Source organism: Homo sapiens, chromosome 18 (genome assembly GCF_000001405.40).
Source record: "Homo sapiens chromosome 18, GRCh38.p14 Primary Assembly".
Lineage (NCBI taxonomy): Eukaryota > Metazoa > Chordata > Mammalia > Primates > Hominidae > Homo > Homo sapiens.
The window spans coordinates 68,886,066-68,901,797 of record NC_000018.10 but is presented as its reverse complement, the minus strand read 5'-3'; the positions used below and the strand labels follow the sequence as shown (position 1 = coordinate 68,901,797).

At 33.7% G+C, this 15,732-nt stretch overlaps 1 protein-coding gene across 8 annotated transcripts in view; it reads right to left on the bottom strand.

The window, feature by feature from the left end:
• CCDC102B (coiled-coil domain containing 102B) overlaps positions 1-15,732 on the bottom strand; it is a 342,906-nt gene that overhangs the window by 156,324 nt on the left and 170,850 nt on the right. For all 8 annotated transcript variants that reach the window (XM_047437804.1, XM_017025973.2, NM_001093729.2 and 5 more), the window contains one exon: positions 4,370-4,579. In XM_047437804.1, coding sequence (XP_047293760.1) covers positions 4,370-4,579 — 210 coding nt within the window. The remainder of the gene's footprint in view (positions 1-4,369; positions 4,580-15,732) is intronic.

Below are 15,732 nucleotides of genomic sequence, written 5' to 3'. Positions count from 1 at the left end.
GCTTTGGTGGCCACATCCCCCCATGAGTTTCAGAAAAAGACTTCCAGCTACTCTCCAATAAATTAAAGGCAAAGAAAATAAGAGACTGGAAAGATAGGGGCACTCTGAGAATTTGCATAAAAATGTAGATCCACAGGATATGTGCAAATGTGGAAAATTGCAATTCCAGTTGAGGGGAAAGACTTTTCTTTGGAGGACAACTATTTCCACATATTTTTTTCCTATTAACCAACCAACAATTATCAGCAGGAAGATGTGCTGTTTTCTTTTGTCACTCTGTACCTAACTCTGTCACATTTTCCTTCTTGGCCCCCCTTCTGTCCATGTAAGCCAGAGACCCCTGCATGTACCTCCTACAGCAGGAGGCAACAAGCCATGACCTATGAACCAAATCTGGCTCTAGACCTGTTTGTGTGCCACCCATGAAATATTCTCTATGGTTTCAAAGGCTTATAATTTTTCAAAAGGATATGCCACAGAGACTTATGTGGCTTACTTAAATAGTTTAAAATATTTACCATCTTGATCTTTACAAAAAAAGTTTGTCCATCCCTAGTCTAGAATAACACTCCCCATGTGTTTGTTGATGTACTCAAATATAGACTTATCACACACGCACATCAAGTAACTTATATTGCCAGGGAAAATTGGGAAAGACTTTGCTATGATCAACAAAGATTCCTGGAAGTTGTGTCTAACACATTCCTCGGGTAAGATTTTCTGCTTCTATAATGTCCTGCAATGTTGATATCATTAAGCTATTTTACACAAAACCCTGTAATTTATAGATGATCCATGGCCATACAACTGATTCTTGTCCATAAACGTGTGGGACAACGTTATCTGGTGACAGTGCAATTTACTTCCCCACCCACATGGAAGAGCCGGTCTTGCATCCATTAAGCACGTTCATTTTGGCATTATTGGGTGCCTAGTTGTATGACACTTAGATTTTCCTTCGAACTGGCTGTAATAACTTGCTGGTTTCTTCATTAACTAATGGAATAAATAGAATAGTTGATATGTGTTCTTTTAATGTTCCTATAAAGTTATGAGCTTACCAACTTTTACTCTTTAAATATGTTAACTTATTTATGTTATATAGATACACTATTTTACTAATATTTGTTATAAAACATGGAGATTCAAAAAGCAAGAGCTTTTTGAACACAGTGTGACATGTATACCCCACTTTCGATGCCACTATAATTTTTAATACACTTAAATGTTTTAGCTATCTTGATCTTGTGAAAGAAAACAAAGAAAAAATTCTGACAAATAGCTCAAATTATCGAATTCACATTTTCTGAGTGTATGGAAGACTTTTTTTTAAAAAAACTTTACGTCATATCAGTTAGTCCAATAAGGACAGGTGGATTTTTTAATGTTGGATGGAAATGTACATTCTAATGATCAAGCATCACTAACATAATTTACTATTGTCTGTGAAATCAGACTTTCAAATGAGCTGCATTTCTCTTCCTCAAAGCATACTCTTGGATTTACTTATGTTTTTACAAATCTAGGTCTTAAACATCTTTGCCATCATTTATAATGCAGACTTCATGCTGAGAAGAGCACTCGACACTGCCACCGAAGCTCTGTTTCTGGTGTTGTTTTGTCAATTATGCTGATGCCACGGGACCATGGAACAGTGCCACTATTTCCAAGAGCAACAGCAAATCGAAAAATCTTCATGCAATGGTTGTTCTAGAAAAGTCTATTACATTGGTTTATGCTTTAAATATAGATACCACCAGAGTAGTAATTTTCCAATCTATCCTTTAAAAGTTCAAGTGTATTATTGCATTTTTTAAGTTGTAAAAGAATGATGTACACATATCCTTAAACATAGTATATAAAAGCAACTACTCAATGGGGATTTATGTGATGAGATTACTTACGTAAAGAAAATTATTTGTCTTTTGATTAATAGTGCAATTTAAAACTGGAAGTCGTTTTCTTTAAAAATGCATTCTCTATACCATTGAAATAAAAAAACCAAATGTAAAACCATGTGAAAAGTCCTACCTTTTTGAATTAATAGGGACTTATAAAATTTTTATTGAACAATAAGAATATTAAAACCTAACATATTTTTTACAATTTATGTGGGGTTCTTGATGAGTAGCACGTAGCTTTATGTCTGCCACAAACCTTTGGTAAATATGATTTAAATGCAAATGTCATGTAGTAAGAGATCTTTCTAAAGAAATCTTATATTTCTTTTAGAGACTAATAATCGTGCAGTGTTTGCACTAGTGTCCCTTACATGCTAGCACCTTCTTTCACTGCCTCACTCATGTATGGAATTTCTGTACATATATAGACATGGTACTCATACATGGTGTGTGTATATATATATATATATAGCACCATGGTATTCATCTATGGTAGTTATATACATATAAATTAATTCTTATTGAAATAATGTTAAAACTACAGTATGGTTTTGTGTTATGATAAAATCTACATTATTCCCTAAACCTTGGCATGTTCTGTACACAGCTCTGATTCATTTGACATTTGAGGACATCATAATCTTGACATTTTGAGCTTCTGGGGAAGTTCCTGTTGCACTAAGAATTTTGGCTTGCTACCGTTCCAAAATAAGTGATTATTTTAGTTCCAGCAGATAGTCTGAATTTGTAATGAAGAGGATAAAAATCACCAACCACCACCCTCACCATCAAAATGATATATACTTAAAAAATCCTACAGTCTTCTAAGTGATCAGCATACCCACTGACTTAGACCTTTGAGGATCCTCTCAGTTTCCAAGTTCTGCTTAGTCCCAGCCCAAATAACTACATTGTCAAAGAGACCAGGTCTGGACTCGGTGTGCCCTGATGACAGGTTACGCCAATGCCAGCTCCAAACAGGTCTCAATTTTTCCCGAAAGATATACTTTATATTAATACATTTTGATACAACTAGAAAGGTGCCAAAATCAAATATAATCAATTGCTTCTTAATCTGTGTCCCCTTCCACTTTATTCTTAGCAATCACTATAATGTTTTATTTATAAAAATTTGTGTGTTTGACTCCCTATATAGACTCTAAGCCCATGCTGGGTGGGGATAATGATTCATTGATTAATATTCTCATTACCTGCATATAGAACAGTGACTGACACAGAGAATAATACGAATAAATGTTTGTCTTGTTTGAATAAATCAAATAAAAAGTATTTCTATAATCAAACCACAGTCCATAATTGAGATAATTCTGCACTTTTTAGAGTAGAGATCTCCAAAATAAGATGTCTACAGATTTATCAGTGTACATATGTCAGAATCAAATACATTATTATGGATAGTTTATGAATCAATATAATAGAAAATTATGGTCACGGACTATAACATTTAACTTTAGATATTTGCATTGCTAGGTCATGAAACACTAATACAATTTAATCTTGCATTTGCAATAAATCCCTAGATTCATGAAAGAATGATGAAATAATATGGAATTCAATTTTTCTGGCCATTTAGGTTTTAGAGCTTATGTGAGTATGAATGACTTAAATATCTCAAAACTATGAACTTATCAAATTCACCTTTTAAAACTGTTAAAGAAACTGAGTGAGAAATAGAATTGTGCATTAAGATGCTATATATAATTGAAAAATAGAAACAAGGTAAATATAATTTACAGCACATTGACACGAACCCACATTAAAACTATAAGACTGCCATTAAAAGCACATTTAAAAATCTGTAAACTATCAAAAAAATGTCCGTCTATAGCATAAACTATATCTACTGGCTTGGGGATAAAACACATCCAAAATTAAATTTCCCAAATTTAAATTCTGAATGTTATCCTGGTTTTAAGATTTATACCACAGGCTGGAAAAATTATTTGAAAAATTATGCATTTCATTAGCTCAAAAATAATCGTTCTGAAACTGACAAAAAAGAACCAGAAAGCAGTGAGTTTCAGCTAAATTTAAATGTTTATGCAGATACTTACCATAGCTACCAGCAAATGCTTATTGTATAGTCGCTTGAATTAATGAAAAAATCTTTATTGGAAATAAGATCATTAGCTTAGAAAATACTGAGACAAAGCTTTAATAAGAAACAAAAAACCAGAAAGTTCTATTTCTTACTTCATTTTTCTTCTTCCTTTTGGAAATCTTGAAACTGTCTGAAGATTTGTCATATTTTAACATTTGACACACTTTGTTTCAGATGCATGAACGTTATTTTACATCCTAGTGGGCAAAAGAGCAAGGAGTATCAGGTATTAGCTGGCACAAAAGGAAATATCCAAATGTGGAGGCGTGTACGAGTGAAGACAGACTCTGCGTAGGCATCAGAGTGAGATTAGACAGTGAGAATTTGCTCCAAGGAGCACCCATACCTGGTTTTTTTCTTGCAGATCAATTTGTGACATCTTGAAATCAGGACTTTGAGAGTTTGCACTTAATCTATTTTTCTTATCCAAAAGCTCTTCCATTTCTTTCACCTGGATCTTCAGCCTTCTATTTTCTCTCTCCAGTCCCTGCTTTTCTCTTTCAAGTATTTCCCTCTTGTCCCACTCCGAGGTATTTTCAGCTTGCAATCTCTCTAGCTACACACAGAAAACACAAAGAAGCAGCATGCAGCATTTGCAATTGCCAAAAGATAATGCCACCCACAACCAGACTCCCATTAAGAAAAGTTCATGGATATGTCCACTGATACAATTTTAAAAAGAAAATTCTATTTGTTTGAAAACATGAGAAAAATACAAAAATCCTAAGATCAGGCCAAACCGTAGATAAATATACTTTTCCTCTTGGTTCATGTAACTATCTCTACAGCCATATGTACCATATTTTTCAAATATATGTGTCAAGTGAAGAACTGCTGCTCTTGGGAACATTAATCTCCACTCTCAACTGATAAACATTCTCAGTGGAGAAGACACAATATCATTTCATGGGCAATTTTGATTGGATATATTTCATTTATTCATTCACTCAATTATCTAGGGAATAGACAGATGCTATATGGATCTCTCTATCTCTATCTCTCTATCTCTCTATCTATGCAACATTTGCAGTTGCCAAAAAGTAATGCAAAAAGTAATTTAATTTTATATTGAAAAAATATATATAATTTATCATTTTATATTTTAAAATTTTACATTAAAACATTTTCAACATTAAATTATATAAAATTCAAACTATACCACAAATAAAATCGTATTGGGACATGGCCACGCTCATTTCTTCACACTTTGCCTATAACTGCCTTCACACACAATGGGTAAGTTAAGCTGTTGAGAGAGAGACCATATAGGTAGTAAAGCCCAAAATAGTTACTTTGTGGTCCTTTACACTAAAGTTTTGTCAACCTCTGCCCTCTTCCCATGGTTCTCAACCAAGGCTGCATGGTATATCAACATGAGGAGATTTTTATTACTATCAATGACCAGAAGCCTACTCTAGAAATTCTGATTTAAGATAATTTTAATATCTCCTTTGGTTTTTGTTATTTTAATGTCTTTAAGTTTTAAAGAGGCAATATCAAATGTATTTATTTTCTGCAGTTTTATTACATCTAAGTGCTTATTATTATGAGATGAAATTATATTCGTCTGCTATAATTTTTCTGTGGACATTGTAAGTAGAAGTGAATAGTAGCTTTTTTGTCTCTAAATTATAGTCCTGAGCTATGCATTCTAATGTGACTTCACCATTTATTCTCTGGATAAGCTTAGTCAGGTAACTTCATCTACCCCAATGTAGACAACTTATTTAATCTGACAAGGTTTGTGAGAAGTGAAATTAATCAAAGTAATTAGAAAGCACTTTGTCTAGCAATGTAACACTTAAAGGAGAAACACTGTGGTAATATAAATTTTTTAAATGTATGTTTCTCTCATATATTTAGGCATATGGATATCGAGACATCAATGTAATTTATTGCATAAATCTATACAGCAGAGTAACTCTTTACAGTAGAAAATCTATTAGAATCTCATCCTGGTCCCACCATTTACTCATTGTCTAATTCTGGACAAGAAATTTATTATCTTATTAAGTTTTCTTACTAGTAAAATTAGTATGATACCATACATATAATACCATAAATACAATAGCACAAATACCATATTTGTGGTATTGTAGGGACAGAAGAGGGTCAACTACTCAAAATTCCTTGCAAACTATTTAGGATGATTAGAGTATGAGGCATTTTAAAAATATCTCAAAAGGATAAAAATTCTAAATTACTTGTTTTAACATTGTTGATTATAATGGCTTCATTGCAACATACTTTATAATTATTATACTGTTATAAAATCTGTTGCTATGACATGCTAAATTCTAAAAGCCCAACAACTTAGTCAACATTTAGAAAAATGTTACATTTCAACAATATCCTTTATAGTATCATAATAAATTATGATATAAAAGCCTAAAAACTGCTTTTTCATATATATATAATTGTACCATTATTGTAGAAAATGTTCTGTTCCCAAATCTAAGAGATGTTCTGGCTTCCAAAATGTAGGAAACCAAAATTACATTCTTGGCACTAGACCTCATTTACCAATTATATATAATAAACTAAGGGTCAAATTTTAGATGATGTAGTTTGACATTTGGGATGCTTGTTTGGGAATATGAGGTGAAAATATTATATCACAATTTAATTTAGTACCTGCCATTACTTTCATTGTTAAGATTAATACTTAAAGTTTCTATCATTGCCTCACTTATCAGAATAAAAATGATAAAGTTGCCACAAGAAGGCAGCAACTTAGCAATGAAAAATTAATATAAGGAGAGCAAATGTATTTTTGGGCAAGGACAAATATGCTGTGTCAAGTCTTTGTGAACTTGCAGTATTCTTTTAAATGTTAAAATTAAATAAATTGATTTAACATTAAATAACAGATAACAAGTAGAACCAAGGTTTTAAATAAGTAATACATGGTCTGAATGAATAAATTTTAACTCTTAAGATTTTTTTTAAGTAATGATTTTAGCAGTAGCAACAACAAAGCTTAAATAATGCCTTCTGATGTTTTACTATTGGCAGATTTATCAAAACATACAAATTATTTGATAAATATATGTGTATAACATATATTAAAAAGTAAAAGTCTTATAAAATTATAAGAAGTTTTAGTTTTTATTTTGTAAAACTGTTTCTTATCACATCATTCTTTTCCAAGAATCATATGAAAATTCACTAACTTAAAAAGCATTTAATTGCATGTACCTTAAAATGATAAATAAAAAGTCAGGTAATATTTTAAGCTCTCAGAGTTTATCATAAAAATTACAATAATTTTATCAAATGGAAATAGAATTCCATTGCTTTGCTTCTGATGATGAAGAGAAACTCCTAAAATATTTTAATTCTAACTCAACTGTGAATTTTAACCAATAGCGTGTTCTAGCATTAAATGAATTTCAGATAATGCAGAAATTACTGAAACCTGTTTTCTGAAAATTTTAATGTAAAAGTACATTCTTTGTACAGTAAGCACTAAAATATTTGTTCACTTAATGACATCAATTTCTTATTAAACGTCGAGAAAAAGTACATAAATATCCAATACTACACTTACTGAATGAATATTTATTGAGCTTATTTATGTATCAAGAAACAAAGAGGAACTGAATATATGACTTTAAAAATACAAATAGAATATGAGTAACATTGGGCATCTTTTTACAAAGGAAAAAAAATTGAGTGTCATAGAAAGGCCTGCAATAAATCAGGTAAAAGGAGAAGGTTGTTTGAGGAAATGATTGATATTTAAGCTGCAAATTGAAGTTTAATAAGGCAGAAAAGCACAGCCAGACCCAGAGTGTACCAAGCACAGAAAGCAAGAAAAATGTTTGAACAGTGCAAGACCAAGAAGAGTCTGTGCAGTTATGGAATGTTAGGATTTGGGGAGAACATGGTATAAAAGGAAACTGGACAAACACGGACTGGTTCTGAAAAATAAGTATGAATATCAGAATCAGTTGAGTTGCTTGTAAAAACTGTAATATTGTGATTATTCCGAAGGATAAAACATTGGATCATTTTCTAAACATAGCTATTTACTCATTCTTCAACTGCCATGGCTTGATATTGTTGAAAAGATACTGACAATTGTAATCATTAACAACAACTGGAATGTAAGCTTTATGAAACCAGGACTGTGTCATTTTGCTCATAAGCCCAGCACCAGACACACACTGTATGTGTGCTCCATAAATAACTGTTAAGTGAAAGAGAAAGCAGATAATGACAGTCTCCAGGAAAAAGCCCTTCTGTATTTCAATGACAATGATTACACACAAAGCAAAATTAAGACAGCACTCTAAAAGAATCCAGTTACTAGACTTACCATAACATAACATGAAAAGGACTTCTCCGTACATTGGCTCTGAACTCTTACTGCTATTGCCAGAGCTGTTTTACATTTTATAGTAGTGAACACAGTGAGGCAGAGAGGATTTTTAATAAAATAACCTACAGATGAGTCCCAATTCTCCTTTTAGACTGATTGCCTCAATTTTTCTTTTTTATAACATAAGAAAACTCTTTCCTACAACCTAGTGTTATGAGGGAGAACTGAAATCATTTAGAGAAAATATTTATTAACTTCCAAATTCAACTCAAAAATGTCTAAAGTCATAAATTTATTTCCTAAAGAAGAAAACATCAACAGCCACTTCAGATACAAAATAGTGTATTTACTTTTTCCTCAAGTTGTACCAAGATGACAATCACTTTTTAAATGGACCTAGTCAATGGAGAAAACTCCCAAAAGAATGCACTATATGCCACTTGGCAGGCCAGTGAAGAGTCACCTAAAACCAATGTGAATGTTCCAGTAATTGATTTGCAAATATTCAGAAGGTAGCAGCTGGGTTCAACTACACTCCCTGTAATTGAGATATGAGAGCCATTGTCTAATGCCAGACACAACTATTTCCTTACATATGTATTGATGTTATACCTATTTTTAAGCTTTGCAGTATCCCTCAAGATTTGAATGTGTTTATCTTTCAGTCTTAAATTACATTGAATTTATTTGCTAGACTTATTTAGATGTCTGTTTTGTAATATCCAAATAAATCAGTCTCTTAAAGTAATTTTTTGTAATCAATACAAAAATAGATGACTATGGCTATAAAATAGTATCCTTTGAAAATTGCATAGTTTAGAACGTGAACACAGACTAAATCTCACTCTCTCAAGCCAACCTCCAAAGATCAAAAATGAGAAAAAAATAAAATCACTGGTAGCTGCAAACCTGTCAACACAATAAAGAGGCTTAGACTTATAGAAACTTGACGGATATGTAAGAGGTGCAATAAATGTCTGAGGGCAGCAGAGACTTCTCTGGAGACCATGTGGGAGCAGAGTCAGATGGGGATGGTGCAGAAGAGAAAACATGCGCTATGGTGGATGTCCTGTAAAGGTAGCCACATCACCTTAAGCAGGGAAATAACTGAGAACAGATCTCAGACCTGGAGAGCCAGAACACAAGCTACTATCAGAAATGTAATAAAGGAGATTAGAAAGTACAAGGGTCATTGTTTTCAGGTTTTTCAAGGTCATGGGTAGCACTCTAGATTGCAAGGGGTATCTTGGAAAGCAGGGCTGTCATTTAGAAACTTCCTGGAAAGGGACAGGAGGAAAGCAAGAAGTTGATATTAAGGGAATTATCAAAGAATCATAAGACAAATTGATTTTCATCCTCCTACCCAAAAGCTTGGATTTTTAAAAAGTGTCCCTTCACTGTATCGACAAAAGAGGGCATATTACAACTAAGAAATTAAGTACACAACTCGTAATTTTTATTATTCCACTTTCTCCCATAGAACCCACCTGTTACCTCTTATTCTTGCTATCCCTGGAAAATCCTACCCAACTGTTATGGACTGAATTGTGTACCCCCCAATATTTGTCTTTAGAAGTCTTATCCCCAGTGTGATAATATTTGGAGATAGGTTCTATAAATAGGTAATAAAGATTAAGAGGATACATTAGGGTGGGGCCTTAATCCAATGGAACTGATGTCCTTATAAGAAAAGGAAGATGTACCAGAGATCCCTCTCTCCAAGTGAGCACAGAGGAAAGACCATGTAATGACACAAGTGAGAAGGCAACCATCTACAAGCCCAGAAAAGAGACCTCACCAGAGACTGAACTTGCCAGCACTTTGATCATGGACTTCCATCCTCCAGAACTGTGAGAAAATAATGTCTGCTGTTTAAGCCTTCCATTCTGCAGTATAGCCTGAGCAAAACAATACACACTTTGTCACAGAAAAAGGAATGCAACATCTATACAAAGCTACTAGAAGTAGAAAACAAAATGAGAATCAAAGCTCTGCAGCTTATACAAATATTTTGCATAAAATCACCACATGGAAAAGCAAAAACTGTAATAATATCCTCCAGCATGAATTAAATCAGGAAAAGAAGGAAAAGGGGAACCCCAATATTGGATACACATGAAGTAACTATATATCAATTTGATTACATAACCACAGAATATAGTTTAAGTGACCTGTGAACACAGAACTCTAATTTAATATCCAGTGGGATAGATGTTCAGAGCAAAAAGGATTGCACAGAAACCTTAAGCATCACTTAAAAGGGCTATTACGTATAATAATACTGTTAGAAGTCTGTGAGAATGTTATATATATTTTAAAATAAAGCAAATAACCACATGCATTAACATTATTAGGAAACAGTTTAAAAGAGATACAGATAAAAAATTGTTAAGAAAAGGGACAATCACATTAGAAAATTGTTTGCCAGTTTTCTAAAAATAAAACATTTACAGCTACATTATGAACCAGTAATTCTATTCCTAAAGAAATAAGTCCCACTCCTATGATTAATAAACAGATAATAGTTACATAAGAATATATTAGCAGCTTTATTCATTATAGTCAAAGTCTAGAAAAAAATGAAACAAATGTTTATGAACAGAATAGATAAATCTCAGTATATTCATACAAAGGAGTAGTAGTCTATTGTTACTACATAAAAGATAAAAAACTACCAATAGATGAGACACTATGAATAAATCCAAAAACAATTTGATGAACAAAACAAGGCCGACACAATAGAATATTTATGGCCTATAAAGTTCTAGAACTGACAGCATTAATATATACTATCTCTAAAGCAAGGAATTGACCAGGAAGGGACATAAGAACTTTTCAAGATGGAAAAAATCTTCCATATCTTGGTAAGGGAGTGCATTATACAGTTGCTTGTGCGTTTTGTGATACATCAACCATTATCACTCAAGGCAGGGTGTGGTCGCCCAAGTCTATAATCCCCAAAATTTGGTAGGCCCAACCGAGTGGACCACTTGAGCCCAGGAATTTAAGCAGCCTAGGTAACATGGTGAGACTCCAACTTTACAAAATTTAGTCAGGCGTGGTGGCATGTGCCTTTGGTCTCAGTTACTCAGGAGGCTGAGATGAGAGGATCACTTGAGCCCAGAAGGTCGAAGCTGCAGTGAGCCATAATTGTGCCACTGCACTCCAGCCTGGGCAGAAACATGAGACCCTGTCTCAAAAACAAAACAGAAACAGAAAAAAAAAAATTCATTATCATTCAATATCCGTGCATTAAACTGTGTGTAAATTATAAGCCAGGTTTAAAAAAAAAAGGTAAGCAATGAACATTTAATGGTAAATGTAAATGAGGAATTAGCAATATAAATGTGACTGGTTCTATCCCTGTCCACTGAAAGGATATGGAAGCAATTACACTGCAAGGAAAGTGAAGATGGCCAGCATCCTAATATCTCCAGTAAGATATGCCAGGGCTGTTTGAAGAAATGCTTGATGTCAGTGCTGCTGCGAGGAAAGTACAGGATGAACACAGAACACATGCATGCCTGAAAGCAATTAAGCACTCATTGATTTATGCAAAATACTATAGGAACAGTAGTTTTAGCCTAAAAGGGATCCAACTGGTTAGCTTTGGGACAATTTGAGAATCTGAATAAAAGAGAAAATGCTTTAGTCCATACAGGTTGCTATAACATCATACTATAGACTAGGTAGCTTAAAACAACACTAATTTGGCCGGGCCCGGTGGCTCACGCCTGTAATCCCAGTACTTTGGGAGGCCGAGGTGGGTGGATCACCTGACATTGGGAGTTTGAGACCAGCTTGACCAACATGGAGAAACTGATCTCTACTGAAAAAACAAACAAACAAACAAACAAACAAAAATTAGCCGGGTGTGGTGGTGCATGCCTATAGTCCCAGCTACTCGGGAGGCTGAGGCAGGAGAATCGCTTGAACCCAGGAGGCGGAGGTTGCGGTGAGCTGAGACTGCACCATTGCACTCCAGCCTGGACAACAAGAGCGAAACTCCATCTCAAAATAAAACAAAACAAAACCACTAATTTATTTCTCACAGGTCTGGAGGCTAGGAAGTCCAAGATCAAGGCACTGGCAAATTTAGCCTCAAGTAGAGGTCTAATTTCTGACTCACAGATGTATTCTCCATGTGTCTTCACGTGTTGGAAGGAGCCAGCTAGCACCTTGGGCCTCTTTCATAAGGATACTCATCCAATCCTAAGAACTCTGCTCTCGTGACCTAATCACTTTCCAAACATCCCACCTTCTAAAACTATCACCCTAGGATTAAGTTTTCAATATGTGAATTTTGGCAGAACACAAGTGTTCAGACCATACTAGACAATATTCATTTATAACACCCTAAGAAAATTAATTCATGAATCTATAATGTTAAATAGAGAAAAAGAGACAAAGAAAAAAAAAACAAAGAAAAACTACTGGGAGGGACAGGAAAATGGTAGCTCAAAAGTGTAAATTGATAGAGTAACTTTTGCAACTACCAATTATAATAAATTTACATAAAGATCATCAGTAGGTTCCAGAATCATTAGATAAAGGGTTTCTGGAGAAAACAATAAATTCAGGAATCAAAATGTTATACCACACATGACTTACTAACTTCAAAGTGAGTATTATATTGGAGAAAGCTGGCAGTCCATACCTTAACCAAGTGATCATATTTAGCATGGGTAATAGCTGAACAACATGGCATTGTTTCTCTTGATATGAAGCATTAGGAAATCCATGGAGATTTTATATATTATTCTTACTAAAAATATGTTAACCTGAGTCTAGTCTGTCAGTCAGTGGTTCTCAACCCTGATGATTTTGTCCTGAGGAGACATTTTGCAAAGTCTGAAAATGATTTTAGTTGTCACATCTGAAGAAGTACTACTGGCATCTGGTGGATAGAAACCAGGAGTACTGCTAAACATCCTACAATGTACACGGTGGCACCCCACAACATGTCAATAGCGGGAGAAAATCCTGGTCTAGACTTAATTCTTGTTTGCAGGAAATACAGAACGTAGAAGAACAAAGGATACCATTAACAATCAATTAGACCAATACAGAATATAGTATATTCTATCACTGAACTAATCTGATTGTTTAAAACACCAATTTATGGGGAAATAGTGAGAGAATCTATTCTAAACTAAAAAGCAATTAGGAAGATATAACACCTGACGCATTAACTACAAAGCCCTTCTCTTTGTGCTCATTCATTATGTATTTTCTGCTTATTTTTCCATACCATTTCTTACATAGGCTACTATTGCAATATGTTTTTCCTTATCTATGTTCTTTAAAAAAAGTATATTTTTAACTTTAATAAATGTTAAAATCAACACTATCTTTTATCTTTTAAGGTTACTGTCTGTTGTAAGTATACTATTTCAACACAAGTGACATTCATCATGATACCTGTCTTAATGTGTGATCATGTGCCATAAACTAAAGCATACTGCCTAAGAAAGTTGTCTGTCTCTGAGTGCTACATAAGTAAAAAGTAAACCCATTTAGCAAACATAAATATGAATGTATGCCTTGGGTGTCAAGATATCACCATCATTCCCAGTGTCCTGCTTCCAGAATTTTATTTATACTCTTGCACAGATAGACAAGTTCTAGATAAAACATGTTTTTCCACTGTACACTATAAATATGTATTGATTTTGATGTATCAAGCTTTTATTTACTTAGCAAGGTTAAAACTTTAGGATTCTGGACAAAAATATTGTGTTAGTTGTGATAGCAACATCAAAGGTACACTTTAGTGAAGATTCACATCTGTGGCCTAAGTTTTCTCTTCTAGGAGTGGAAAAATATTTAGCAAGTGTGAGTTAGTTGAAAGGATCGATTACTCAAATATGTCAGTGAGCCAAAGTCCAACACGGACATTTGTCCAAATTCAAAAACAAATGTCAATGCCTATGGATCGATTACATAAGACTCTTCAGCTCACCTGACCTTTTTACTGAAAGGTTCTTAACATTTATGGTAGAGGATAGGATTTCCCAAACGATTAGATAAAGGTCAGAGTATACACTTGAGTGTTGTTTGAAATTTAGTTTCCAATAATTATTTATGACCAGAGTTCAAAATCATTTATAGGGAAAATTTTAAGTGGCTCTTGTCTAGAACCTGGCATATATCCTTTGAGCTTCCTATTACGCTTGTTTTTACCTGAATGCTCCACCTCACTGCTGCGCTCCAAATTCTCTCACCTCCACAAAGTAAAATCGACGGGAGAAGGAAGAACTTCCTTCCCTCTCTTGCCAGCAGTTATAGTGTCAAATAAAGGAGTAGGTTACAATGACAACTGTTTCTACTCAACCTAGATTAATGGATAGAGCATACATGAGGAAAAACCTTTGTGGGGGCCAAGATGTTTAACTATAAAAAGAGGAAATACAGAATGAGTATTGAAAATTTTAAGGATCTAGAAGCTAAAAAAGCAGTGGTCAGGATTATGGGATTGCCTCATAAGTCATTGGTACTGAAATAAGTAAATAAAGCCTTGAACTCTAAATGTCAAGAAAATGACTAGTTTCTAAGAGCAGATTATTAAAGGAATATAGAATCACTTTGCTGGGGTCCATTGAAATGAGTGAATGTCAAACTAGATGCATGGAATAAACACCAGCATTGGGGTACATTGAAATGAGTGAATGTCAAACTAGATGCATGGAATAAACAACAGCATTATTAAGCAAGGCAGTAGAAAATATATGGTGAAGGATTCCTTTGACAATCAAAATGGTTACTATGTAGTCAGTGACAAGATTTAATGAAATCTTTTCTAGAACAAAAATTTCAATGGACTCAGAAAAAAAGTGCATTCACTTTATTTGAAAAACAAACATTGAAATAAAATGATTATCTTCACAATATATCAAGAATCTTTTTAAGCCTAAAAAAGAATTTAGGTTTCTACTTAAGGAAGTTCAATTGAAGATTTCTTCCATGTTAACATTGAGTTCAACAATGGGTTCAAGATCACTTTTTTGTTGCTGTTAATATCCAAATACTTCATCTTCCAAATAAATAGGTGGCATTTACTGAAAATTTTTTTTTCATTTACTGAAAATTTAATGGTTGTATATAATTTATAAATCATCACCCTTATTTTAATGTGAAGGCCTATTATCTCCATACCATGGCTGAACAAAATATATGGTATTATTTGTCCTATTACATATCATTTCATTAATTATAATGTCTATTATTTCTTGAGAATATCCAGTGAGATAAGCACAGTCTTAAGCTGTTTGCCTTTGTTAATTCACTTACTCCTCCCTTATTTATATTTTATATATTCTCCCAAAGTTCTGGGATTACAGAAGTGAGCCACTGCCCCCGGCCACGTGTTCCATCTTAACATTGTA